Source organism: Homo sapiens, chromosome 11 (assembly GCF_000001405.40).
Source record: "Homo sapiens chromosome 11, GRCh38.p14 Primary Assembly".
NCBI lineage: Eukaryota > Metazoa > Chordata > Mammalia > Primates > Hominidae > Homo > Homo sapiens.
Window position 1 is genome coordinate 59,537,402 of NC_000011.10, and position 25,792 is coordinate 59,563,193.

At 44.9% G+C, this 25,792-nt stretch overlaps 2 long non-coding RNA genes, 7 other non-coding genes and 1 pseudogene across 16 annotated transcripts in view, besides 7 other annotated features; 5 read left to right on the plus strand and 5 right to left on the minus strand.

The window, feature by feature from the left end:
- LOC102723575 (uncharacterized) lies at window positions 1-23,345 on the plus strand. Of its 5 annotated transcripts, none has more exons than XR_950137.4 (4): window positions 1-170; window positions 344-417; window positions 8,396-8,574; window positions 21,039-21,478. It is a non-coding gene; the product is annotated as an uncharacterized LOC102723575 (long non-coding RNA). The 5 variants fall into 5 exon arrangements; XR_950136.2 differs by lacking the exon at window positions 21,039-21,478 and adding an exon at window positions 23,258-23,345 and having other exon boundaries at window positions 16-170; XR_950135.4 differs by having other exon boundaries at window positions 16-170; window positions 20,719-21,478.
- Window positions 498-557: an enhancer, noted in NCBI's record as "active region_4755". NCBI's record gives its function as "activates an Ori minimal core promoter by ATAC-STARR-seq in GM12878 lymphoblastoid cells {active_cell/tissue: GM12878}" and the evidence as "EXISTENCE:reporter gene assay evidence [ECO:0000049][PMID:35858748]".
- Window positions 7,637-8,836: an enhancer, noted in NCBI's record as "P300/CBP strongly-dependent group 1 enhancer chr11:59312511-59313710 (GRCh37/hg19 assembly coordinates)". NCBI's record gives its function as "activates an origin of replication core promoter dependent on BRD2, BRD4, P300/CBP, MED14 and CDK7 cofactors, with strong dependence on P300/CBP, by STARR-seq in HCT116 cells {active_cell/tissue: HCT116}" and the evidence as "EXISTENCE:reporter gene assay evidence [ECO:0000049][PMID:35650434]".
- Window positions 12,897-13,116: an enhancer, noted in NCBI's record as "active region_4756". NCBI's record gives its function as "activates an Ori minimal core promoter by ATAC-STARR-seq in GM12878 lymphoblastoid cells {active_cell/tissue: GM12878}" and the evidence as "EXISTENCE:reporter gene assay evidence [ECO:0000049][PMID:35858748]".
- TRV-TAC1-1 (tRNA-Val (anticodon TAC) 1-1) lies at window positions 13,228-13,300 on the minus strand. Its single transcript has one exon. It is a non-coding gene; the product is annotated as a tRNA-Val (tRNA).
- Window positions 13,272-13,773: an enhancer, noted in NCBI's record as "H3K27ac hESC enhancer chr11:59318146-59318647 (GRCh37/hg19 assembly coordinates)". NCBI's record gives its function as "activates a minimal SCP1, AML or CMV promoter by ChIP-STARR-seq in naive H9 embryonic stem cells {active_cell/tissue: H9 hESC(naive)}" and the evidence as "EXISTENCE:reporter gene assay evidence [ECO:0000049][PMID:30033119]".
- On the minus strand, window positions 13,586-13,658 carry TRV-TAC2-1 (tRNA-Val (anticodon TAC) 2-1). Its single transcript has one exon. It is a non-coding gene; the product is annotated as a tRNA-Val (tRNA).
- TRR-TCT3-2 (tRNA-Arg (anticodon TCT) 3-2) lies at window positions 13,893-13,978 on the plus strand. Its single transcript is given in 2 exon segments — window positions 13,893-13,929; window positions 13,943-13,978. It is a non-coding gene; the product is annotated as a tRNA-Arg (tRNA).
- On the plus strand, window positions 14,354-14,436 carry TRL-TAA3-1 (tRNA-Leu (anticodon TAA) 3-1). Its single transcript has one exon. It is a non-coding gene; the product is annotated as a tRNA-Leu (tRNA).
- Window positions 18,955-19,004: a silencer, noted in NCBI's record as "silent region_3364". NCBI's record gives its function as "represses an Ori minimal core promoter by ATAC-STARR-seq in GM12878 lymphoblastoid cells {active_cell/tissue: GM12878}" and the evidence as "EXISTENCE:reporter gene assay evidence [ECO:0000049][PMID:35858748]".
- Window positions 18,988-19,178: a silencer, noted in NCBI's record as "fragment chr11:59323862-59324052 (GRCh37/hg19 assembly coordinates)". NCBI's record gives its function as "represses an EF-1alpha promoter that drives an FKBP-Casp9 reporter gene in an ReSE screen in K562 erythroleukemia cells {active_cell/tissue: K562}" and the evidence as "EXISTENCE:reporter gene assay evidence [ECO:0000049][PMID:32094911]".
- On the plus strand, window positions 19,028-19,100 carry TRK-TTT5-1 (tRNA-Lys (anticodon TTT) 5-1). Its single transcript has one exon. It is a non-coding gene; the product is annotated as a tRNA-Lys (tRNA).
- Window positions 20,015-20,144: a silencer, noted in NCBI's record as "silent region_3365". NCBI's record gives its function as "represses an Ori minimal core promoter by ATAC-STARR-seq in GM12878 lymphoblastoid cells {active_cell/tissue: GM12878}" and the evidence as "EXISTENCE:reporter gene assay evidence [ECO:0000049][PMID:35858748]".
- Window positions 20,096-20,168, minus strand: TRF-GAA1-3 (tRNA-Phe (anticodon GAA) 1-3). Its single transcript has one exon. It is a non-coding gene; the product is annotated as a tRNA-Phe (tRNA).
- RNU7-58P (RNA, U7 small nuclear 58 pseudogene) lies at window positions 21,399-21,454 on the plus strand (annotated as a pseudogene).
- The window catches only part of LINC02739 (long intergenic non-protein coding RNA 2739), a 5,833-nt gene continuing 2,937 nt past the window's right edge, over window positions 22,897-25,792 (minus strand). For 2 of the 4 annotated variants that reach the window (NR_187290.1, NR_187292.1), the window contains 4 exons: window positions 25,118-25,183; window positions 23,735-23,842; window positions 23,252-23,476; window positions 22,897-23,165 (listed from right to left, as the gene is read on the minus strand). This is a non-coding gene — a long non-coding RNA (long intergenic non-protein coding RNA 2739). Of the gene's footprint in view, window positions 23,166-23,251; window positions 23,505-23,734; window positions 23,843-25,117; window positions 25,184-25,792 lie in introns of all 4 variants that reach the window. The other 2 variants (NR_187289.1, NR_187291.1) reach the window with 2 other exon arrangements.
- TRK-TTT3-4 (tRNA-Lys (anticodon TTT) 3-4) lies at window positions 22,934-23,006 on the minus strand. The gene has a single exon. It is a non-coding gene; the product is annotated as a tRNA-Lys (tRNA).

A 25,792-nucleotide genomic window follows, 5' to 3' on the forward strand; every position in this document is an offset into this window, starting at 1 on the left:
CTTTTCCCTGTTTTTCCCTTTGGCGGAAGTTCAGGAACCGGTGAAACCCTGTCTCTACTAAGAATACAAAAAAAAAAATTAGCCGGAGGTGGTTGAGGGCTCCTGTAGTCCCAGCTACTCGGGAGGCTGAGGCAGAAGAATCGCTTGAACCCCGGGAGGCGGAGGTTACAGTAAGCCGAGATTGCGCCACTGCACTCCAGCCTGGGCGAAAGAGGGAGATTACGTCTCAAAAAAAAAAAAGGAGGAGGGAAGGGGGAAGGGGGAAGGGGGAGAAATTTTTATTTCCGGAGACAAAATGTCAGAACCCATATATCACATTTGTTTTCTCCCTCTAAACCCTCAGATCTGTTTCTTAGAAGTGGACACGTGAACTCTTACACAGATCAAGAGGAGCAGCTCTGTAAATATTTCCCTGAGGTACGTCTGGTGCAGTCCTCTAGGGCCCCACAGATCAGAGTTGGAAACTTCTGCTATGGCATTGAATCCGCCACATCACCTAGCGGTTTAATGACAATGCAAAATCCTAGGCACCATCTGCAGAAGATTAAATAGTTCTGTCCTAGATACTAGGAATCTACATTTTTAGCCAGCTCACCCTTCCTTTCCCTGTCTCATCCATGATTCTGAGGCTGGCGACCTGTGTTATCACACTTTGAGAAACCGTTCCAAAGTCAATGTTTTTCAAACTGCAGATCCTGACATTCCAAGGAGTGTGATTTCATTTTAGTAGGTCTGGACATGCTTTGTTTTAATGAAATAGGATAGTCTAGGGTAGCATAAAAAATTATACAATTTGCCCGGTGCGGTGGCTCACGCCTGTAATCCCAGCACTTTGGGAGGCCAAGGCAGGCAGATCACTTGAGGTCAGGAGTTCCAGACCAGCCTGGCAACATGACGAAACTCCGCCTCTACTAAACATGCAAAAAGTTAGCTGGACATGGTGGCGCATGCCTGTCATCCCAGCTACTCAGGAGGCTGAGGCAGGAGAATCGGTTGAACCCAGGAGGTGGAGGTTGCAGTGAGCTCAGATAGCACCACTGCACTCCAGCCTGGGCAACACAGCGAGACTCAGTCTCAAAAAAAAAAAGAAAAAGTATACAATTCATTGAATATATATATATGGTATCAAGAGACAACCTATGGAATGGGAGAAAATATTTGTGAACCATGTATGGTTCAGATGTGTCTGAAAAGAGGTTACTATCCAAAATATATAAGGGACTCAAACAATTCAATAGCAAAAACAAACCAAAAATAACCCCATTGAAAATGGTCAAAGGATCTGAATAGACATTTCTCAAAAGAAGACATACAGATGGCCAATAGATATATAAAAAAATGCTCTACATCACTAATCATCAGAGAAATATAAATCAGAACCACAATGTTGTACCACCTTATGCATGTTAGTATGCCTAGTATCAAAATGATGAAAGACAACAAGCGTTGGCAAGGATGTGGAGAAAAGGGAACCCTTGAATACTGTTGGTGAGAATGTAAATTAGTATAGCTATTATGGAAAACAGTATGGAGATTCCTCAAAAATTAAAAATAGAACTACCATACAATCCAGTATTCCCACCACTGGGTATATATCCAAAGGAAATAAGACCAGTATGTCAAAGAGGTATCTGCACTTCCATGTTCACTGCAGCATTATTCATAGTAGCCAAGATATGTAATCAACCATCAACCTAAATGTCCATCAATGAATGAATGGATATATATATATATCCATATAGAGAGAGAGAGAGAGAATGATTGAATGGATCATATATATGATATATATATGATATATATGATGAAGGATGATTTCCTTCATCCATAAAATGAAGGAAATCTGGTCATCTGCAACAGCAGAATGAAATTGGAAGACATTTTATTAAGTGAAATAAGCCAGGCTCAGAAAGACAAATACTGTGTGCTCTCATATATATGTAGAATCTGGAAAAAAATGTTGAACTTACAGAAGCAGAGAGTAGAATGGTGGCTACCAGAGGCTGGGAAGTGGGGGGACTGAGGAGATATTGGTCAAAGGATATAAACTTTTAGCTAGACAGGAGGAATAACTTCAAGAGATCTATCATATATCACCGTGACTATAATTAGTAACAATATATTGTATACTTGAAAATTCTGGCCAGGTGCAGTGGCTCATGCCTGTAATCCCAGCACTTTGGGAGGCTGAGGCGGGTGGATCGCTTGAGGTCAGGAGTTCCAGACCAGCCTGGCTAACATGGTGAAACCCCATCTCTACTAAAAATACAAAAATTAGCTGGGCGTGGTGGCATGAGCCTGTAATCCCAGCTACTCAGGAGGCTGAGGCAGGAGAATTGCTTGAATCCAGGAGGTGGAGGTTGCAGTGAGCCGAGATCATGCCACTACACTCCAGCCTGGATGGCAGAGTGCGACTCCATCTCAAAAAAAAAATAAATAAATAAATAAATATATATATATATACATATATATATATATATATATATGAGTAGATTTTAAGCGTTCTCACTACAAAGTAATTCATATGTTAATTAGCTTTTATCTGGGTATTGCACAATAAATACATATATCAAAGCATCGTGTTATATAACATACACCTATATGTATTAGTCCGTTCTCATATTGCTATAAAGAACTACCTGAGAGTGGGTAATTTATGAAGAAAAAAATTTAATTGATTCACAGGCTGTACAGGAAGCACAGCTGGGGAGGCCTCAGGAAACTTACAATCATGGCAGAAGGCAAAGGGAAAACTGGCACATTTTATATGGCTGGAGCAGGAGGAAGAGAGAAGTGCTACACACTTTTAAACAACCAGATTGCATGAGAACTCACTATCAAGAGAACAGCAAGGGGAAAATCCGCTCCCATGAGCCAGTCACCTCCCACCAGGTCCCTCCTCCAACCCTGGGGATTACAATTCAACATGAGATTTGGGTGGGGACACAGAGCCAAACCAGGCAATATACAGCTTTTGACGATTAAGAATTAATTACTTTTCTAAAGAATCATTTCCTGAAACCTTTATTGCAGATATATATGTAAATATAATCACCTTAATGTGCATAAAATATATTTCTTTTTTGTTGCCCAGGCTGGAGTGCAGTGGCACGATCTCGGCTGACTGCAACCTCCTTCTCCTGGGTTCAAGCAATTCTCTTACCTTAACCTCTCAAGTAGCTAGGATTACAGTCATGTGCCACCACGCCCAGCTAATTTTGTACTTTTAGTAGAGATGGGGTTTTACTGTGTTAGCCAGGCTGGTCTCAAACTCCTGACTTCACATGATCCGCCCACCTCAGCCTCCCAAAATGCTGGGACTACAGGCATGAGCCACCGTGCCCAGTATAAAATATATTTCTTAGTATGTGTTTGATATGGTTTGGGTGTCCCCCACCCTAAATCTCATGTTGAAATGTAATCCCCAATGCTAGAGGTGGGGCCTGGAGGGAGGTGATTGGATCATTAGTTCTAATGGTTTAGCACCATCTCCCTAGTGCTGTTCTCATGATAGGGTTCTCCCAAGATCTGGTTGTTTAAAAGTGTATAGCATCAGGCCAGGCATGGTGGCTTTATGATGTGATTCCTCAGGCCTATGGGGTTGCTTCAACATAAGATGCTGATGACAGTGAATGCCTGAAACCACTTGGTCCTTGGGAGCTTCACCTTCTATATTCTTAGACTTGCATACTTGCTGGAATATCCTGGTTTATCCAGAGAGGCCCACTGATCTTCAGGATCCAGGATATGGCTGGATCATCACTACTGGTGGGCTCCTGTAGTCCCAGCTACTCGGGAGGCTGAGGCAGAAGAATTGCTTGAACGCTGCAGGCAGTTTTCTGTTTCTGTTTTTGTGTTTTAATTATTCTAACAAATGTGTAGTGGTATTTTATTATGATTTTCATGTGCATTTTCCTAATAACTAATAGTGCTAATTATCTTTTTATGTTCTTATTTCCCATCTGTATATTTTCTTTGGTGAAATGTCCATATTTATGCCCATTTTTTATTAGGTTGTTTTTCTTCCCTAATTGTAAGAGGGTTTGTTGTTTTTTTTTTAAGTCTGAATAATAGACTTTTACCAGACAAGTCTTTTGCAATTTTTTTTCTTCCAATCTGTGACTTGTCTTTTCCTTTAGCAATGTCTTTAGAGGAGCAAAAGTTGTCATTTTGATGAGGTCAGATTTATCAATTGTTTTTTAGTTTCTGGATCATACTTACTGTGTCTCGCTTAAGAAATTTTGCCCAACCATTGATTACAAACTTTTCTCCTATATGTTCCTCTGGAAGAAATACCTAATAATTTCAAGTTTTACATTTTGCTGTATGATAAACCCTGCCTTTTTGAAGCTTAAAAGATAGTGATCTCTAACAAGACATTCCCCTGCAAACTGTGTGCTGTGTTTGAAAATCTTCAAAGACAAACTTCAGGAAAGGCTGATCAGTTTTTCTTTGACGGATAAAAATCAATTACAGGCCGGGCACCGTGGCTCACGTCTGTAATCGCAGCACTTTGGGAGGCCGAGGCAGGCGGATCACCTGAGGTCAGGAGTTCGAGATCAGCCTGACCAACATGGTGAAATCCCGTCTCTACTAAAAATATAAAAAAATTAGCCAGGCGTGGTGGCGGGTGCCTGTAATCCCAGCTACTCGGGAGGCTGAGGCAGAGAATTGCTTGAACCCGGGAGGCAGAGGTTGCAGTGAGCCAAGATTGCGCCACTGCACTCCAGCCTGAGTGACAGAGCAAGAACTCCGTCAAAAAAAAACAAAAAAATCAATTACAAAAGAAGTTGAATTAAATTTACTTCATGAGAAGACCAAATTTTTAAATATTAAAAAGGTCTTTTTCTCAAAAACACATTTGATTGGATATGCATGAACCACATGCCAATTACAGATTGGGAACCAGCTGGGGTACTGACAAATGCTGTCCTTGACCAGACTTCAGTCAGACTTCTCTGAGCCCTCTTCTCGACTAGGCCTAGACCTTGGCCTCAGTCCCATCCTCAGCTTGCAGATAGTCCAGTTTTTTTAAGTATCCTTCTAACTCAATGTATCAGAAATCCCTCTGACCCTTGATATCTGATCACCCTTGTCCACCCTCAGCAAGAATCCTGTTAATTCAGCAAGAATCCTGATAATACCGAGAATCCCCTTACCCCTGATGTCTCCTGTTACTAATTTTCCATCCACTGACCCCACCCCACCCCAATTCTGCTCCTTTGCTGTAAATTCCCAGCTGTCTCTACCACATTTGGAGTTAAGCCCAATCTGTCTCTTCTCTTGCAATAATCTTTTCTTTAAGAATACCTCCTGGGAGTAGGAGAGAGAAATATATAAAAATAAATAACAAACCAAGTGTGGTGGCTTATGGCTTTAATCCCAGTACTCTGAGAAGCTGAGGCAGGAGGATTGCCTGAGCCCAGAAGTTGAGACCACGGTGGGCAACATAACAAGACCCTGTCTGTCTAAAAATTTTTAAAAATTAGCCGGGCATTGGCCGGGCATGGTGGCTCACACTTGTAATCCCAGCACTTTGGGAGGCCGAGGTGGGTAGATCACGAGGTCAGGAGTTCGAGACCAGCCTGACCAGCATGGTGAAACCCAGTCTCTACTAAAAATACAAAAAATTAGCCGGGCGTAGTGGCACGTGCCTGTAATCCCAGCTACTGGGGAGGCTGAGGCAAGAAAATCGCTTGAACTCAGGAGGCGGAGGTTGCAGTGAGCCGAAATCTTGCCATTGCACTCCAGTCTGTGCCACAAAGCAAGAGTCGGTCTCCAGAAAAAAAAAAAAAAAAAAGCCGGGTGTGGAGAATGTGCCCCTATAGTCCCAGCTGCTTGGGAGGCTAAGGCAGGAGGATGGCTTGAGCCCAGGAGTTGGAGGCTGCAGTGGGCTGTGATTGCATCACTGTACTCCAGCCTGGGTGACAGAGCAAGACCCTGTCTCTAAAATAATATAAATAATAAGTAGCAAGATGCCCTGACCTCCTTCACCTTCACACCACAAAACTGAATGGGCCTGGAAGGGTTGACCAGTGCCACTGAGGCTGCAGCTGAAGTCAAGAAAGCATTGCAGAAAAAAATTGTATCCAAACTGTCAAGAACAGGGAGTAGTTGGTTTTATTTTATTTTATTTTATTTTATTTTATTATACTTTATGTTCTAGGGTACATGTGCACAAAGTGCAGGTTTGTTACATATGTATACATGTGCCATGTTGGTGGGCTGCACCCATTAACTCATCATTTAACATTAGGTATATCTCCTAATGCTATCCCTCCCCCTTCCCCCCACCCCAAAACAGGCCCTGGTGTGTGATGTTCCCCTTCCTGTGTCCAAGTGTTCTCATTGTTCAATTCCCACCTATAAGTGAGAACATGCAGTGTTTGGTTTTTTGTCCTTGCAATAGTTTGCTGAGAATGATGGTTTCCAGCTTCATCCGTGTCTCTACAAAGGACATGAACTCATCGTTTTTTATGGCTGCATAGTATTCCATGGTGTATATATGCCACATTTTCTTAATCCAGTCTATCATTGATGGACATTTGGATTGGTTCCAAGTCTTTGCTATTGTGAATAGTGCCACAATAAACATACATGTGCATGTGTCTTTATAGCAACATGATTTATAGTCCTTTGGGTATATACCCAGGAATGGGATGGCTGGGTCAAATGGTATTTCCAGTTCTAGATCCTTGAGGAGTCGCCACACTGTCTTCCACAATGGTTGAACTAGTTTACAGTCCCACCAACAGTGTAAAAGTGTTCCTATTTCTCCACATCCTCTCCAGCACCTGTTGTTTCCTGACTTTTTAATGATCACCATTCTAACTGGTGTGAGATGGTATCTCATTGTAGTTTTGATTTGCGTTTCTCTGATGGCCAGTGATGATGAGCACTTTTTCATGTGTCTGTTGGCTGCATAAATGTCTTATTTTGAGAAGTGTCCGTTTATATCCTTTGCCCACTTTTTGATGGGGTTGTTTGATTTTTTCTTATACATTTGTTTAAGTTCTTTATAGATTCTGGATATTAGCCCTTTGTCAGATGGGTAAATTGTACAAATTTTCTCCCATTCTTTAGGTTGCCTGTACACTTGATGGTAGTTTATTTTGCTGTGCAGAAGCTCTTTAGCTTAATGAGATCCCATTTGTCTATTTTGGCTTTTGTTGCCATTCCTTTTGGGGTTTTAGTCATGAAGTCCTTGCCCATGCCTATGTCCTGAATGGTATTGCCTAGGTTTTCTTCTAGGGTTTTTATGGCTTTAGGTCTAACATTTAAGTCTTTAATCCATCTTGAATTAATTTTTGTATAAGATGTAAGGAAGGGATCCAGTTTCAGCTTTCTACATATGGCTAGCCAGTTTTCCCAGCACCATTTATTAAAGAGGGAATCCTTTCCCCACTTCTTGTTTTTGTCAGGTTTGTCAAAGATCAGATGGTTGTAGATGTGTGGTATTATTTCTGAGGGCTCTGTTCTGCTTCATGGGTCTATATCTGTTTTGGTACCAGTACCATGCTGTTTTGGTTACTGTAGCCAAGTTCGTTTTAAAGATAATAATGAGGGTAGGGGAGAAGATACCAGAAAGACGACAAGGGCTGGGGCACCAGGGAAGGGAGGAAATGAAGCAAAAGATAGGCTGGAGAGGGAGATGAAATCTCAGAGGGCTCTTGTGGGTGAGGAGATGGAACGTGACATTTACACTTTAGAGAAGTCACTCTGTTTGCTGTGTGAAGCATTGATTGGAGTGTGCAAAACTGGAGACAGGGACACACTTGGTATTCCAGGACAGAGACGACAGAAACCTGAACTAAGTAGCAAAATGGAGGAGAAGTCGTTGTGAAACCGCCCAATGGGCTCACCTTACCCACTGCCTAAACAGAGCCGATTCCTCAAGACAGGGGAATCGCAATAAAGAAATAGCCATTCACGCAAAGCCGGCTGAGCGGGAGACCGGAGTTTTATTTTTACTCAAATCAGTCTCCCCGAACATTTGGGGATCAAAGTTTTTAAAGAGAATGTGGTGGGAGTGCAGGAGCAGTGAGTTGGAGAGTGCTGATTGGTTGGGTCGGAGGTGAAATTACGGCGCGTCCCTGTCTTCCTGCGCTGAGTCAGTTCCTGGGTGTGAGTCACAAGATCAGATGGGCCGGTTTCTCGATATGGGTGGTGCCAGTTGATCCATCAAGAGTAGAGTCTGCAAAACATCTCAGGCACTGATCTTGGGAGCAGTTTAGGGAAGGTCAGAATCTTGTGGCCTCCAACTACTTGACTCCTAAACCGTAATTTCTAATACTGTGGCTAACTTTAGTAGTCTAGTCTCCAGGCAAGAAGGGAGTTTGTTCTGGGAAAGGGCTGTTATTGTCATTTTTTAAAACTATAAACTAAGTTCCTCCCAAAGTTTTTTCAGCCTGCGCCCAGAAATGAACAAGGACAGCTTGGAGGTTAGAGGCAAGATGGAGTCGTTTAAGTTGGACCTCTTTCACTGTCTCAGTCATAATTTTGCAAAGGCGGTTTCAGTTGCAGACAAAAGGATCCGCAGGCTCCAGTGACTGTCTGCATGGCGGGAGAAAACACAAGGTAATCGCTCAGTGTCTGGCTGGAGTCCTGGGTAGATGGTGATATCATTCACCAAGAAGGGAAATAACAGAAGGAGCCCATGTTTGGGGGGAAAATTATATGTTCTGTTTTAACAACTTAGGCTATGGGTTGAATTCTGTCCCCTTGAAATTCATATGTTTAAGTCCCAACCCCCAGTACCTTAGAACATAACTTTATTTGGAGACAGGATCTTTACAGAGGTAAAGTTAAAGTAAAGTTAAGATAAAGGTAACGTTAAAATGTGGTTATTAGGGTAGGCCCTGATACTATATAATTGGTGTCCCTTACAAAAAGGGGAAATTTGGAGACCAAGATGCCCATAAAGGGAAGACGGTGTGAAGCGATAGAGACAGAGGACAATGATTTACAAGCCAAGGAGCAAACAGATTTGATATGCTTAGCAATTAGCATTTTCTAGAAATGTCCCCAAGGAAAAGCCTTATTGTTCTACGCAAATTGAACCAGACTTACCTGGCAATACAATAACAGTAGATGACATTTACTCTGTGCTTACTATACACAGATCATTTAATCCTAGCACTTTGGAAGGCTAAGGTAGGCGGATTACCTGAGGCTGGGAGTTCAAGACCAGCCTGGCCAACATGGTGAAACCCGGTCTCTACTAAAAATACAAAAATTAGCTGGGCGTGGTGGCAGGTGCCTGTAATCCCAGCTACTCGGGAGGCTGAGGCAGGGTAATAGCTTGAGCCCAGGAGGTGGAGGTTGCAGTGAGCTGAGATTGTGCCAATGCACTTCAGCCTGGCCTGGCCAACAGAGCGAGACTGTCTCAAAAAATAATAATAATAATAAATTAATTAATAATAAATAAATCTTCTCCAGAATCATGTGAGCTATTGTCCCCATTTTAGAGGAGGAAGCTAGCCCATAGCAGTTAAGCAACTAGCCCAAGGTCACATAGACTGGTATATACTGTGGTAAGTTCACACAACCAAGAGGAGATAACACTGAACCTCGATTTGGCTCTGGGGTTGCCTGTGTTGAATCTCTGGAGTCTACACCACACTGCCCAAAACTATGCTGTTTATGAGAAGGGAACTAACCCAACCTAAGGAACGCAGGAAAGCAGAAGGGAGTTTGATGAACTCAAGGAGGATGTGCAGGAAAGTCTAGGTCAGCAGAACTTCTGGAAAGTTCTAAGGAAAGGACATTAAGCAACATGTTACAGGCAGGACCAGCTTCATTTCTGGAATTGTTGGGATTTTACCAGGGTGACCGATTTATGCATACACACCTAGATTATCCAGAGTGCTATATAAAATCCCTTTAAAGAAGTCCATCTTTCCTATCTCATGCCAGTTATAGAAATTTCATATGGATCAAAGTGGTACCGGAAAGGGGTCCCAATCCAGACCCCAAGAGAGGGTTCATGGATCTTGCACAAGAAAGAATTCAGGGCAAGTCCATAAAGTAAAGTGAAAGCAAGTGTATTAAGAAAGTAAAGGAATAGGACAGGCGCGGTAGCTCATGCCTGTAATCCCAGCACTTTGGGAGGCCAAGGAGAGTAAATCACCTGAGGTCAAGGAGTTCAAGACCAGCCTGGCCAACATGGTGAAACCCCATCTCTACTAAAAATACAAAAATTAGCCCGGCGTGGTGGCTCGTGCCTGTAGTCTCAGCTACTGAGGAGGCTGAGGCAGGAGAATCACTTGAACTCAGGAGGTGGAGGTTACAGTGAGTCGAGATTGCACCACTGCACTCCAGCCTGGGCGACAAAGCAAGACTCCATCACCAAAAAAAAGAAAAAGAAAAAGAAAAAGAAAAAAAAGCAAAGGAATAAAGAATCACTACTCCTTAGGCAGAGCAGCCCACTAGGGCTGCTGGCTGTCCACCTTTATGGTCATTTCCTGATTATATGCTAAACAAGGGGTGGATTATTCATGAGTTTTCTGGGAAAGTGGGGGACAATTCCCAGAACTGAGAGTTCCTCATCTTTTTAGACCATATAGGGTAACTTCCTGACATTGTCATGGCATCTGTAAACTGTCATGGTGCTGGTGGGAGTGTCTTTTAACATGTTAATGCAGTATAATTAGCATATAATGAGCAGTGAGGGCACCAGAGGTCACTCTCTTTGCCATCCTGGTTTTGTGGGTTTTGGCCAGCTTCTTTACCACAGCCTGTTTTATCAGAAAGGTCTTTATGACCTGTATCTTGTGCCGACCTCCTATCTCATCCTGTGACTTAGAATGCCTTAATCTCCTGGGAATGCAGCCCAGTAGGTCTCAGCCCTATTTTACCCAGCCCCTATTCAAGATGCAGTTGCTCTGGTTCCAAGGCCTCTGACAGAAGGTTGAAACATTAGAAAATGTTTAACTATACAACAATCAGGAGAAAATATAGAATAATTTTTGAAATATAATCTCAAAGTGAGTAAGTATTTTCTAGGCAGGAAATGTTAAAAGCCCCTCTCCTGCACCCCCCCCAAAAAGATGATGAAATTGACTTCAAAAAAATGTTTAATTTCTACATCGCACGGAATATCAAAAATATAATCAAAAGACAAATGGCAACTCTGGATACATTTGCAAAATATATCCTAAATCTGAATTTACAAAGAGCACCTAAAAACCTATTTATTTATTTATTTATTTAGAGACGGAGTCTCGCTCTGTCACCAGGCTAGAGTACAGTGGCACGATCTCGGCTCACCGCAACCTCCGCCTCCCAGGTTCAAGCGATTCTCCTGCCTCAGCCTCCTGAGTAGCTGGGATTACAGGTGCATGCCACCACACCCAGCTAATTTTTGTATTTTTAGTAAAGACAGGGTTTCACCATGTTGGCCAGGATGGTCTCGATCTCTTGACCTCATGATCCGCCCTCCTCGGCCTCCCAAAGTGCTCAGATTACAGGCGTGAGCCACTGCGCCCGGCCTAAAAACCAATTTAAACATAAATTAACAGAATATATACATAAGAAAATTGAACAAAAGAGGTGAACAGATAGTAGGAAGAAAGGAAGCTTTTAAGTACATGAAAAACGTTCAACCTAACTCACAATAAAAAAACACAAAATAAACCATTTCCAGCTGACTCAAAATTCAGTTATTTTCATTTGAGAGAGACAGGAAGAACAAGGGCTTTCATATTGGTGTGAGTGTAATTTGATACAAGCTGTTTTGAAAGGAGCTGTGGCAGGGTTGGTGGGGACGAGCAGGGAGGTTGGTGGGACGGGTTTGCAGAGGGCGTCTCACTTTTTTGCCCAAGCTGGTTTCAAACTCCTGGGTTCAAGCCATGCTTCCACCTCGGCCTCCCAAAGTGCTGGGATTACAGGTGTGAGCCAGTGCGCCCAGCCATCAATTAAATTTCTTCTGAGACATAAAGGCAACACTCTTCTTGCTTGGGTTGGTACTGTGTTCTGTCCCTGACCAGGGGTGTAACCCTGGGCCATTTCTTAATCTCATTATGCTTCCTCTCCCTCGTCTGTAAAACGGGATAAATAATAATAGAGACATTGTGAACATTAAGTTAGCTACCCATGTAAGTGCCTGTTCAAGGTTTTGCTAGGATTATTTTACATATTGCCCTGCCTGAAACCAAGGAACAAGGAAATCTGCTCAGCATTGTTCCTAAGACTAGATACAATTTAAGTGTTCATCAAAAGGCATAAAGAATTGTGATATATCCAAACACAGGAAGTAAAAGGATAAGCGAAGATGTATGAACGAAATAGGAAGATTTTCAGAATATTGTTGAGGAAATGGGAGCGGTACCTATGTGTGCTACCTTCGTACAAAAAGCGTGAAGTGGGTTTTAAAGTAAATGTACGTGTATACTGGTGAATGCATAGACAATTTCTGAAGGGTCACAAAAGAAACAGCTAACCATTGAAAGATGGGATGGAAACATCAGTTGTGAAATACGTGGAGGGATTCTGAATTCTGTGCATGAAATTAATTTTTCAAAAAGCTTTTTTTTTTTTTTTTTTTTTTTGAGACGGCTCTCTCCCAGGCTGGAGTGCAGTGGCGCGATCTCGGCTCACTGCAAGCTCCGCCTGCCGGGTTCACGCCATTCTCCTGCCTCAACCTCCCGAGTAGAGTAGCTGGGACTACAGGCACCCGCCACCACGCCTGGCTAATTTTTTTGGTATTTTTAGTAGAAACGGGGTTTCACCGTGTTAGCCAGGATGGACACGATCTCCTGACCTCGTGATCCGCCCGCCTCAGCCTCCCAAAGTGCTGGGATTACAGGCATGATCCACCGCGCCTGGCCTCAAAAAGCATTTTTAATTTAAATAAATAAAGTATGAGGGCGGCCTTCGTGATGTCCTTCGACTTAGTGGTGGCAATTTTTAGAGATGGCCCAAGCAAGGCTTAGGAGAAGGTAGGTGAGCCAAGGGGCAACACCCAGGAACCCAGAAGCCGGCTGGCCAGGTAGTGGAAAGGCGCAGGCGCAGGGGCGAGCGAAGCCTCGGTGGAGCGGAGCCGCCTGCACCTCCAGAGAGGCGCCATACGGGGGCCGCCGCGGAGGCCGACTCAGCGCCGAGCGCTAAGAGAAACCGGGCTGATGCAGCAGGCGGGAAACAAGCCGTAGAAATTCTTGAGACACGGGTTCGTCGCCAGCTTCCTGGTGCAAAACCCAACACCTGGCTCACAAAACGCTAGGTAACATCTCATGGTTCCACTGGGGCTCGAACCCAGGACCTTCTGCGTGTAAAGCAGACGTGATAACCACTACACTATGGAACCCCACACGACTAAAACGTTCCTCCAGGATTTGATAATTGTTCAAAAAGACATTTTGGCACTGGGAAATGGTCATGTAGACTTGACATCCGGCGATTGTGCACAGAGAAAAACTTTCAAAAGGATTCCTCATTTTCCAGTATTCAGAGGAGCACGACCGCACAGAAACATTGTCAAAATGTCTGCGTCTCCAGCTTCCTGAACCAAAACCCACGATTGGGCTCGCAAAATGTTAATACTAAACATTATAAAGAAAGGAAAGAAAAGAAAAAGGTATGAATCACGCCGTGGTTCCACTGGGGCTCGAACCCAGGACCTTCTGCGTGTAAAGCAGACGTGATAACCGCTACACTATGGAACCGCGTGCGGAATGGCTGTCTCTGGATTTAGCAATTCTGCATAAAGACATGTTAACAACGTGGACTGAAAGGGATTTACTGCTCAGCGATCACGAAAAGAGAAACTTTCACCAGGATTACAGACTTTCCAGTGTAATTCCTACCCACGCTCTCTTTAGAGACAAAGGTTCCACACTTACTTGTGGAAAGAAAGTGCCTCCCCTGATGTGTTCATCGCGGAGAGGTCGCACGTGTCTGGCTCTGTGGCGCAATGGATAGCGCATTGGACTTCTAGATAGTTAGAGAAATTCAAAGGTTGTGGGTTCGAGTCCCACCAGAGTCGCTTTTTGTTTGAAGAAGAGCAAACGGAAAGTTAGGCGGAGGGAATGGATATAAAATAGATGAAACGAGAACTGTCTACCATTTAAAATTTCCGGAATGATGTGAATTGCAGCTAATTGCAGTTCCTGGTTATGTCCCTTCACTTGAAGGCGTAAAGAATCCCGTTCCTCTATCGAGCCTTTTCTCCTTCACTTTTACCTGGCCCCAGTTTCTAGTGGCGAGATAAAGAAATTAGGGAAATATAATCAAAGTTACCAAGTTTTTTCCCCATATTATTCTTTTATATCAGGAAAAAAAGTAATTTTAAATTGTTCCGAAACTTTAGTCGCCTAGTGTTACCCGAGTTGCTTTAAAATAAAACATTGTTTTATCAGTTACCAGAATGGCCGAGTGGTTAAGGCGTTGGACTTAAGATCCAATGGATTCATATCCGCGTGGGTTCGAACCCCACTTCTGGTAAAGAGGAGTTGTTTTTCCTGGCAAAAACCTTTTTTCCTAATCCTTGACAATCCATTTTGCAATCTTAAGCGTCCAGATAACAATAACTATAGTTAATATCATTTTGCCAGATACCTTACATATAGCGACAGCTTCACAGTTTATGGTTTGAAAAGTAGAAAGAAAACGTCTGAAAAAAAGAAAGAAAACGTCTGGGTCCAGCTATATGGGAGTGAGGGAGCACAGAGCGAGAGGCACATTGTGCTGCAAAAACGTTCACTCCGAGTCGACAGTTATTTCTTGAGATCCTATTACGTGCCAAGTACTGTTCTAAACACTGGGGTTGTGGTGATGTAGGTTTGGTTTTTTTTCTTTTAAAGCAAAACAACAAAAAATACAAGAGCCTTACCATCAAGACCACTGCCCAATGTCACTTACATGACAAAGTGACAGAAGAAAAATATGGTTTAAAAACAAGCAGACAGCCGGGCACGGTGGCTGACGCCTGTAATCCCAGCACTTCGGGAGGACGAGGCGGGTGGATCACCTGAGGTCAGGAGTTTGAGACAAGCCTGGCCAACATGGCGAAACTCTCCGTCTCTACTAAAAATACAAAAATTAGCCGGGCATGGTGGCGCGTGTCTGTAATCCCAGCTACTAGGAGGGCTGAGGCAGGAGGATCGCTTGAACCTGGGAGGCGGAGGTTGCAGTGAGCCGAGGTGGTGCCACTGCACTCCAGCCTGGGCAACAGAGAGAGACTTCGTCTCAAAAAAAAAAAAAAAAAAAAAAAAAAGCAGACAGGTTTGGTGCGGTGGGGCTCACGCCTGCAATCCCAGCGCTTTGGGAGGCCAAGGCAGGAGGATTGCTTGAGGCTAGGGGTTTGCGACCAGCTTGGGCAAGAACGTGAGACACTGTCTATTTTTAAAAAAAATTTTTTTAATTAAAAATAAATAAAAACAACTGGACAAATTGGAGAATTTGAGAGATAGCGATAGGTACTATACAGAAAATAAAACAAGGCAGCCCAACAGAATGGCTTTTCTCAGGACAAACTTATTCCATTTGATTATGAAAATCATCGTCCTTGACAGAAATGTTCTTCCCCTCTCTCTACCAAACAAAAACTTCCAAGGACTAATTCTGACCCTCCTCCTCCACTAAAAGCCTTTCCTGACCAATCACCCTCATTCAACTCTCCATTCTTTCATTCAAGGACAGTTTTTGAGAGCTTTCAGTGAGGCACTGACTCAGGGATTGCAGATATACAGAGAGTTCCTGTCCTCACAGCAGAAACATTCTAGGAGGAAAACAGATTCGTTAAACAGGTGTTTAAGGTAGGTTGCAGTGGGCACAGCAACAGAGACAGGCTCAGAGCCCAGTTCCTAACCCTGTCTGGAAAGGATCAAGCAGGGATCTCTGGGGCAACTCCTGAACCCTGTCTGTAAAGATCAGCCAGAACCTTCCACAAAAAAACAAAAAACAAAAAAACAAAAACAAAACCACTGTGGAATGCTAATTGAAATACTAACAGTTCCCTATGTTGTTGTTTGTTTGTTTGTTTTGACACAGAGTCTTGCTCTGCCGCTCAGGCTGAAGTGCAGTGGCGCCATCTCTACTCATTGCACCCTTCAGCTCACCGCAACCTCCGCCTCCCGGATTCAAGCGATTCTCTTGTCCCAGCCTCCCGAGTTGCTAGGATTACCGGCGCGTGCCACCACGCTCGGCTAATTTTTGTATTTTTTTGTAGAGGTGGGATTTCGCCATGTTGGTTAGCCTTCTCTCGAACTCGTGGCCTCAAGCGATTCGCCCGCCTCAGCGTCTCAAAATGTTGGGATTACAGGTGTGAGCCACCGCATCCGGCCTACTTCCCAGTGTTAAGCAGTCCACTACCACACAGTTAACACTTGATACAGTTAAGAGTTTGAGACTTTTGGTCTGTGTTTGGTGCCTATCAAGCTGGTCAGTCCCAGAACAGGAAACGCATCTTCATGCTCTTATTCATTCAAAGCTGTACTCAGTGACCAGTGTTACTCAGTTACTGTACTCAGTAACTCAGTGTACCTGGCACTTTTGTAAGAAGTGGAGGTTCACCGGGCGTGGTGGCTCACGCCTATAATCCCAGCACTTTGGGACACCGAGGCGGGTGGATCGCGAGGTCAGGAGTTCGCGACCAGCCTGGCCAGCATGGTGAAACCCCGTCTCTACTAAAAATACAAAAATTAGCCGGGCATGGTGGCGTGCGCCTTTAATCCTGGCTACTAAGGAGGCCGAGGAAGGAGAATAGCTTGACCTCAGGAGGCGGAGGTTGCAGTGAGCTGAGATTGCGCCACTGCACTCCAGCCTGGGCGACAGAGCGAGACTCCGTCTCAAAAAAAAAAAAAAGAAGAAGAAAAAAAAGAAGTGGAGGTTCAGAGGTTTGGAAAGAAACAGACCAAAGGCTCATAACCCCGTGGGACTGACCTCACGAGACACAGGCACCTCCTTTCCAAGGGGTCTGGTTTTAGTTTTCTTCCTTGAGCCGAGGCTTGCCATCTGATGCCTAGGGATCCACATCTTCATTTGTGAAAACTGCACCTGTCAAATTTGTGATTTTTCAATACCAACAACTCCCATCCAAAACAATGAGGCAAGGAGGGAGTCCCGCAGAGGAGGAAGTGTGTGATTTAACCCTTTTCTTCTGGCTCTTTATAGAAAAACTTCAAAGGAAGCTTTGATCTAAGGTGCCACTTCTGCCATCCCAGAAGCATGGAATATTTTGTTAATAACAAATCATATTTTTCCCAGCACTTTGGGAGGCTGAGGCAGGCGGATCACGTGAAGTCAAGAGTTCCAGACCAGCCTGACCAACATGGTGAAACCCCGTGTCTACTAAAAATACAAAAATTAGCCGGGCATGGTGGCGGGCGCCTGTAGTCCCAGCTACTCAGGAGGCTGAGGCAGGAGAATCGCTTGAACCCGAGAGGAGGAGGTTGCAGTGAGCCGAGGTCGCGCCATTGCACTCCAGCCTGGGCGACAAAAAAAGAAAAAAAAGAAAAAAGAAAGAAAGAAAGAAAGGAAGGAAGGAGAAAGAAAAAGAAAGAAAGAAAGAAAGAAAGAAAGAAAGAAAGAAAGAAAGAAAGAAAGAAAAAAAGAAAGAAAAGAAAGAAAGAAGAAAGAAAAGAAAAGAAAAAGAAAATAGTGAAAACGTCCTCTCACAGGCTTCATTGCCATTCCTCAAAATGTAGCCTTTTTATCAGGTTATTTTCTATCTTTATAGACCTTCCATGTATACGCAAACAAGATTTATATATAATTATATGTATTATTAAAGGATATATGTTTATATATGCTCATATACAGAAATGCTTTAATTTCTTTCTTTTTTTTTTTTTTTTTTTTTTTTTTTTTTGAGACGGAGTCTCTCTCTGTCGCCCAGGCTGGAGTGCAGTGGCTCGATCTCTGCTCACTGCAAGCTCCGCCTCCTGGGTTCACACCATTCTCCTGCCTCAGCCTCCCGAGTAGGTGGGACTACAGGCACCCGCCACCACGCCTGGCTAATTTTTTTTTTTTTTTTTTTTTTGTATTTTTTAGTAGAGACGGGGTTTCACTGTGTTAGCCAAGACAGTCTTGATCTCCTGACCTAATGATCCTCCCGCCTCGGCCTCCCAAAGTGCTGGGATTACAGGCGTGAGCCACAATGCCCAGCTTAATTCTCTTTCAAGGGATCCAATGCTTTAAGAAATGAGATGGCAAAGAAGTTATGAAGAAACAGGTCGAATTATAGAATTGACTAATTAGGTACGTCTGGGACACAGCTACCAAGGTAACAGACTCCCTAAAAAGATAAAATCCAGCCTGTAGCTTGCCTGATCAAAATCTTTCAATGGATGCTTTAGCTAAATGGTCAGATGCCCAAGGTTAGTAAATATCATCATTTTCCATTTGCTCTTCCCTCGGCTAGAAACCTCTTTCCAAGTCTTCAGGTGCCCAGTCGCTATCCACAGCTCGGTTCAGGCATCATCACTCCCTGGAAAACTTGGCTCTTAATTCGGGTGCCGACCAAGTCCTCCGGGGTCCGCAAAGGCTGGCATCCCACCACCAACGCGCGTGACTAGGGTCTTCTGTTTTGCGCGTCTTCCAGTTCCACTGAGGGCCGAGACTTTGTCTTTGCGGCCCCAGTACTTGCTTAGTTCCGAGAGTGCGGTTTGCACTCAGTAAGTAGCCACTTACTGAGTCCAATCGATTATTGGAAACCTAATTTTTCATCACTGCTTCTCCCACAAGAAGCTCTAGGACTGACTCCTCAAAGACCAAAACTGGAATTAGCAATCCCGCTGTTTACCCGGAGGCCCGGTCAAATGTCTTAAATCTGGGAGGATTCCTCCTGGGAAATTCCAGTAAGGGCGCGGAGCAGGTCAGGAAGGAGGTTACTTTTTGGGTCTTTATCGTCTATGATGGGAGAAAAGGAGAAATGAAGACTCGATTTTGCTGAACGCCTGCTCATTGTCAATTTTGCCGGTTCATCTCTCAAGAAATCAGCAAAAAGACTCAGAATTGTAATCGCGAAGGGAAAGAATGCGGCCACGTGGCCTATTTTCCTGTGGATAGACTAAGCAAACGCTTTTCTTCAGGGGCCCGGATAGCTCAGTCGGTAGAGCATCAGACTTTTAATCTGAGGGTCCGGGGTTCAAGTCCCTGTTCGGGCGGATGCTGTTTTAGTTTCCAATAAAATGGATTTGGGCGAGGCTGAGAGAAAGGAACGTTATGTGAAACCCGCTTGGGGTGCCTCCTCCTTGAGGGAAACCAGAACTTGCTAGTGGGTTCTTACCGGAAGAAGTGAAACGTGTGGAAAATGCCAAGAAACTTTATCTTCCAATAGCAGGCTTTTCTTTTCCAACCTTTATACGTTGCTTTGTCTTAGGATATTTTTTCTTTTAAATTGTATTTTATATTCAAAACAGATCAATAAACACATCGTCAGAGTCACAATTAGTAATATTCTTGGCAAGAATTGTGCAGCTTTTGGCACCGAGGAATGTTTTCAGGCACTTTTTATTAAAAGTGCGATGAGGAAACTGAGACTCAAGAAATATTTCAGATGAAGACACGTAAAGACGCAAGATTCCTACATCTCCAACTGGACGCAGTCCTTCACCAGATTCTTAATGCTCTGGTGGGCCCCTGACTTGTGTCTCTTGCGGTAAAGACTAATGCTTTTGAACACTGTCCTCATGTCTGTCGTCGATGAAAAAACGTGCAGCCCCAGAGAGCTGACTATACTGGTGATCAAACCCAAGACCTTCCGCCTGTGGAACAGGCGTGTTGGCCACCTCAATAACAAATCTTGTGCCACGTATTGCCATTTAACATCCAGTAGTATAAATAGGGTGATTACGGAACTGGGAAGAAATCATTCTACGACTTCTGATTCCTTTGAGAGGCTTAAGTTCATCATGCATCCTCATAATGACTTTGACTTCTGATTTCTCGAGCTTATTCTTTGCATCCTTATAATACCTTACTAAATACTTCGTCTCATTAGTTTCTGCCCGCCTAAGAGACAAGGAGAACAGCCGTCTCTGGGTGTGTATGGCGTAGGTGCAAACGTGCAAGGGTACTGGGGAGAGAGGCGAGCCTCCAGAGAGGCTAAGAAGTGGACCGTAGCCCTGTCTGTTCAAAGGGGTTGAGCCAACAAAAGGTCTGCCGAAACCCGGGATCGAACCAGGGACCTTTAGATCTTCAGTCTAACGCTCTCCCAACTGAGCTATTTCGGCGAAGACATGAGACAGTCCCGCCCTGTCAAGGAAATTTAAAAGAAAAAAAAAAACCGGGCGTGGTGGCTCATGTCTGTAATGCCAGCGCTTTGGGAGCCCGAGGCGGGTGGATTACCTGAACTCGGGAGTTCGAGACCAGCCTGGCCAATATGGTGAAACCCCGTCTCTACTAAAAATACAAAAAAAATTAGCCGGGCGTGGTAGCGAGCCCCTGTAATCCCAGCTACTTAGGAGGCTGAGGCGGGAGCATCGCTTGAACCTGGGAGGCGGAGGTTGCAGTGAGCCGAGATGGCGCCATTGCACTCCAGCCTGGGCGACAAGAGCGAAACTCCGTCTCAAATAATAATAATAACAATAATAATAATCCTGTTTCCTCCCACTTCCAGGCTTTTAGTTCTTCATTTCACCTTCCAAACTGTATTATTTTTAGCCCTGAGGTTTTAAGAGCAATCAGTAAGAAAATTAATTCCTTTCATGTGAGGAAACTTTCCCGTTCTGCCTTTTCCCAGGCCACATTGTGTTGTCTTCCTCATGCTTTCTCTCTTCCCAGGGCCCTAATAAGAGTAAGAACCGCCGCTTTCTAAGAACCTACTGTGTGTCCAGCAGGGATCTACAGCATTGCATTCAATTCCGTCCTCCCCCACGCCTGCCTTTAATTGATATGATAATATACAAATTTTTTAATGAATAACAAATGTGCCACCAATCACCTAGAACTATTAGGGAGGCTCCAAAGCATCAAAGGCTAAACTAAACACCATGGCTGGAGAGGGAATGAACTGGAGGAGGGAAAGGAGGAAAGACTGGGGGGACCCAGAGCTCTCCACCCTTGTCCTCTCGCTCCAGCCTGGTCTGTTCTTGCTCATTCAGAAACTGGTTGGAGTAAAAAGATTCCCCTTTTCAAGATCGCCAAAAGTGGAACTGATCGCTTTCGAAGGGACTCCTTCAGGAAGAAGGAGAAAAATTCGAGAAACTTACCTGTTTCTCTCCCTGGAATGCCTTCTGAACCCTGAGATTTACTTTCCTCAATAAAGAAGCTCGCCTCGCCCACCCAGCCCACTCTTCCTAGGAGCAGCGAGGATCGCTGTCCCTCCAGCACATACTAGTCAACTCGAGTCATCTGAATATGGGCATATTGGGCACATATTTCTTTGTAATGGTTCCTCTCCTATTACAATATGTATCTGTTGTTTCATCGTTAGATTGAAAGCTCTTTAAGAATTATGGTAACAGTGTTACAGCTCTTTCAGAATTTGTTTAGCAGGTTTTCTGGTTTTCACAGGAAAATAAAATAAAAACAATAATTATAATAATGGCTACCGTGTTTTGAATGCTTGCTTTTAGGCTATTAAGCACAGTACATGCATTGGTATCCCATTTAATTATCACAAGCTTATGAGATGGAAGCTATTATTATTCCCTTTCTCCTGGGGAAACTGAGCTTTAGAGAGCGGGAGGTAATGCTGGGATCTGTGTGGACCACGGTAGAGCATTCCTGTGGGCAGGGTGAAGGCCCTGCCTCACGATTGGGTGCTGTCGCCATCCTGGCCTTTCCCCACTAATCAGGACTCACTGGGCACCACAGTCCACCAGCTAAGAGGGCAGCCTCTTACACGTTCAGCCCACATCCCCATCCTGTCAATGAGGAGATCAAGACCGACTTTCTTCTGTTGCCTGGCTGAAGCCAGGAAGGCTCCATCATTAGCCAAGCAAGGGATGCAACCGGTCCCTTCACTTCACAGGGAAATTAGCTCACCTTGATGACCTTACATTCTAAAAACCGCTGCAGAAGCCGATGTTTCCCCACACCCCGCCTTTTTTTTTCTTTGAGACAGAGTCTCGCACTGTCGCCCGCGCTGGAGTGCAGTGGCGCGATCTCGGCTCACTGCAACCTCCGCCTTCCGGGTTCAAGCTATTCTCCTTCCTCAGCCTCCCGAGTAGCTGGGATTACAGGCGCCGGCCACCACGCCCAGCTAATTGTTTTTGTATTTTTACTACAGATGGCGCTTCACCATGTTGGCCAGGCTGGTCTCGAACTTCTGACCTTGTGATTCGCCCGCCTCGGTCTCCCAAAGCGCTAAGATCGCCTGTTTACCTTTTTAATTTGTAGTAGGGGAGCACTAACATTTCATTTTTCCCATTTCAGTCCCTTGAATACGCTCTCTCTTAATACACACCCTCTTCCTCCCACCAACAGAAGCTGCTGTCTCCACCTCAACTTCTTCCTTTGTTCAGATCACACTTTTGAGAGGGGAGTCAGGGGTGGATTTGACCTGGTTTAATGAGGGGAACGGCTCAGTTTGGGGCTTCAGTTTCTAGATGATCATCACTTCCTTTTTATAGTGCAGAAAACTCTTTCCTAAGGTAGTAAGGAGGGCTGGGAAGGTACAGGATCCCAGCCATATTCCTCAGGCACCCAATCGGAGAGAACCCAAGAGGGAGGGTCAGCAGGAGCCATCACAGGGGAGCGAAGAGAGGCTGTCACTGTGGCGGCCTGGTCCTTTGATATATCCGCTGTTGGGATACAGCAGCCCGGCTGGTGGCTACAGAATAATCTGCCTATTACAGCCCCCAAAGTGATGGATTAGAAGTTTCCCGTATACCTCTGCACAAAGGCCTATCCCCATAGAGGGCTTACCCTCCGAGAAGTGTTTGGGGTCGCAGTTTACACAATCCAGGACTTTATTCCCTTCTTTTGCAGTGTGTTAACAAACAAAAGATCCTAAAATTGGTTCTTACTCTTTTAATGAGGAAAAAAAAGATACCGCCCGAACAGGGACTTGAACCCTGGACCCTCAGATTAAAAGTCTGATGCTCTACCGACTGAGCTATCCGGGCTCACGGTAGTAACGTTGCTTCCATTAATGAAGACTCTGTTACCATTATGCCGTGAACTAACAGGCAAGGTGCAAGGTGGTGAACGAGTTCCTGGGCTCTTCTTTTGTGTGTGATCCAATCCAATTCCGATGCAGAAATCCGGCGAGGGCTGGGAGGAGGCTAAGTCGGGCGTGGGGAGGAAGGGTGATTAGCTTGTTCTTTGGCAGCTGAATACACATTCGTTAAATAAAGCAAGTTCTCCTTACATTTAGAGACTGCGTGGCAAACGTGAATCCTCAGTTCTGCAAAACCGCGCAGGGGAGAGAAAAAGCCGCCCACGAATTGAACTGTCTGCACCGCCTACGCGTGTCTTAGCCCTGAACCCAAAGCGCATCCAGTTGGAAACCACAGTTCAGTGGTTAAAGACATCAGGCTGCCCCTTCCGAGGAGACGCCACTTCGTGATTCCTTGCCTCCATCCCAGGTGCCCACCTCAAAAAAGTAGCGCGAAGCAGATTAGCTGAAAAGAGATGACGGGTGGTAGCCGTAGCTCGCCGGCGATCCGGTGAGCGCGCCCCGGACCCACCCCGCCCCCACAGCCCCGACTTCGACGCACGCGCAGCTCCGTCTCAGCTCGCTAGCCGACCCGCCCCTCCCACTTCTCCCCTGTACACGCAGCTGTTTTCTTCTGACAGATCCCATCAAGAACTTTCAGTCCTCTAGGCCTCGCACGTGCTGTCCCATCAATACCTGAAATGTCACCTTCCTTTCAACTCCTTTCCCCTCGTTACCTCCAAGCACCTATAGAGAAGGAAAAATAATCTTCCTTCTACCAGTTTGAGTTCTCAGCTGGGACTCCTGTAACAACAGACAGAATGAAGAGAAAAACAAGTGTATTAACATGTGCATTTCATATATACATGGGACATACCCAGGGAATGAGTAATTCTAAAGGTGTGGCTGAGAACTCCATTTTATACAGCATCGTCAACAAAGAACAATACGTTTTTGGAGAAGTGACAACACAAAGGAAAAGGACCTTAAAGGCTGGGCGCGGTGGCTCACGCCTGTAATCCCAGTACTTTGCGAGGCCGAGGTGGGCGGATCACCTGAGGTCAGGAGTTCGAGACCAGCCTGACCAACATGTGGTGAAACCTCGTCTCTACTAAAAATACAAAAATTAGCCGGGCGTGGTGGCGCGCGCCTGTAATCCCAGCTACTCAGGAGGCTGAGGCAGGAGAATCGCTTGAACTCGGAGGCAGAGGTTGCAGTGAGCCGAGATCGCGCCACTGCACTCCAGCCTGCGCGACAGAGCGAGACTCTGTCCCAAAAAAAACAAAAAAAAAGAAAGCAAAAAGAAAGGACCTCGGGTCTCCAGGGACAGCAAATTGTGGGAAAGCAAATATATGGGAAATTAATGTTAGATAAAGGCAGGTTCCTAAAGCTTGTTAAATGTACTTCTGTGGTCCCCTCTGTTCACGTCTCCAAGCTGTTAAGGACCTAAAGTTGTCTTAGGTTATCAACCTTTGTCCTTCCTGGTAGAGAAAGGAGGAGGAACGACTTTGTAAATGTATATCCTGCTTTTAGGCAGATAGGGGGAGGCTATGGAGCTTTATTTTAATCAGCTTCTTCCCAATTGCCTTTAGCGCAAAATAATCCTTAGGCCGGAGTGGCATATTTTCGGGTGGTATATACTTCTACCCTTTACACCTTTGAGAATGCAGCTTGGCCAAAGCAGTAGTTCACGCCTGTAATTCCAGCGCTTTGGAGGCCGAGGCGGGCCAATCACTTGAGGTCAGGAGTTTGAGACTAGCCTGGCCAACATGGTGAAACCTGGTCTCTACCAAAAAATACAAAAATAGCCAAGTGCGGTGGCGCACACCCGTAGTCCCAGCTACTCGGGAGGCTGAGGCAGGAGAATCGCTGGAACCCAGGAAACAGAGGTTGCAGTGAGCCGAGATGGCTTTTAATCAATGCTTTAATAGAGAAATATGCAAGACCTTTGGTAACCCAGAGAAATCACTAGAAGGAAGGCAGAGTAGCACCTGGCAGGGGGTAAGGCATTAGAACTGTGCCTTGAAAGGTGAGTAGGAGTGTGCAGGCATGCAGGAAATGTGATTCAGCCAGAAATACCGTGTCTTCTTCTCTGAGCTTGAATTCCAAATGCTTCTCACCAGGATTCCCCCTCTCCTCTTCAGGCTGAAAACAGACAGGGCTTGCCTTTTTAGGGCAAAGGCTAGGCCCAACATTTCCTAGGAATATGCCTCCCACTTTTGGTCCCAAGGTGGTTGGCTTTTGCTCAGAACAATAGTAACAATCTCATTCTTCACTCTTACCTGTGTGTATAAGTAACACTTTAAAGCATGCTGTCAGGTTCTCCAAAGAAACAGAACCAGTAGGACAGAGACAGATAGAAACAGAGGTAGAGAAAGATTATTTTAAGAGCTCGGTTCACACATTGTGGGGGTCAGCAAACCCAAAACCTGTAGGGCAGACTAACGGTTTGAAAATTCAGATAAGAGTTAAGGTTGCCATCTTGAGTTTAAATTCAGCAGGGCAGGCCAGGTGCTGTGGTTCATGCCTGTAATCCCAACACTTTGGGAGACTGAGGCGGGTGGATGACCTGAGGTCAGGAGTTCCAGACCAGCCTGGCCAACACGGTAAAACCCCGTCTCTACTAAAAATACAAAAATTAGCCAGGCGTGGTGGTGCACACCTGTAGTCAAGCTACTTGGGAGGCTGAGGCAGGAGAATCTCTGGAACCCAGGAGGCAGAGGTTGCAGTGAGCCCAGATGGCGCCACTGCACT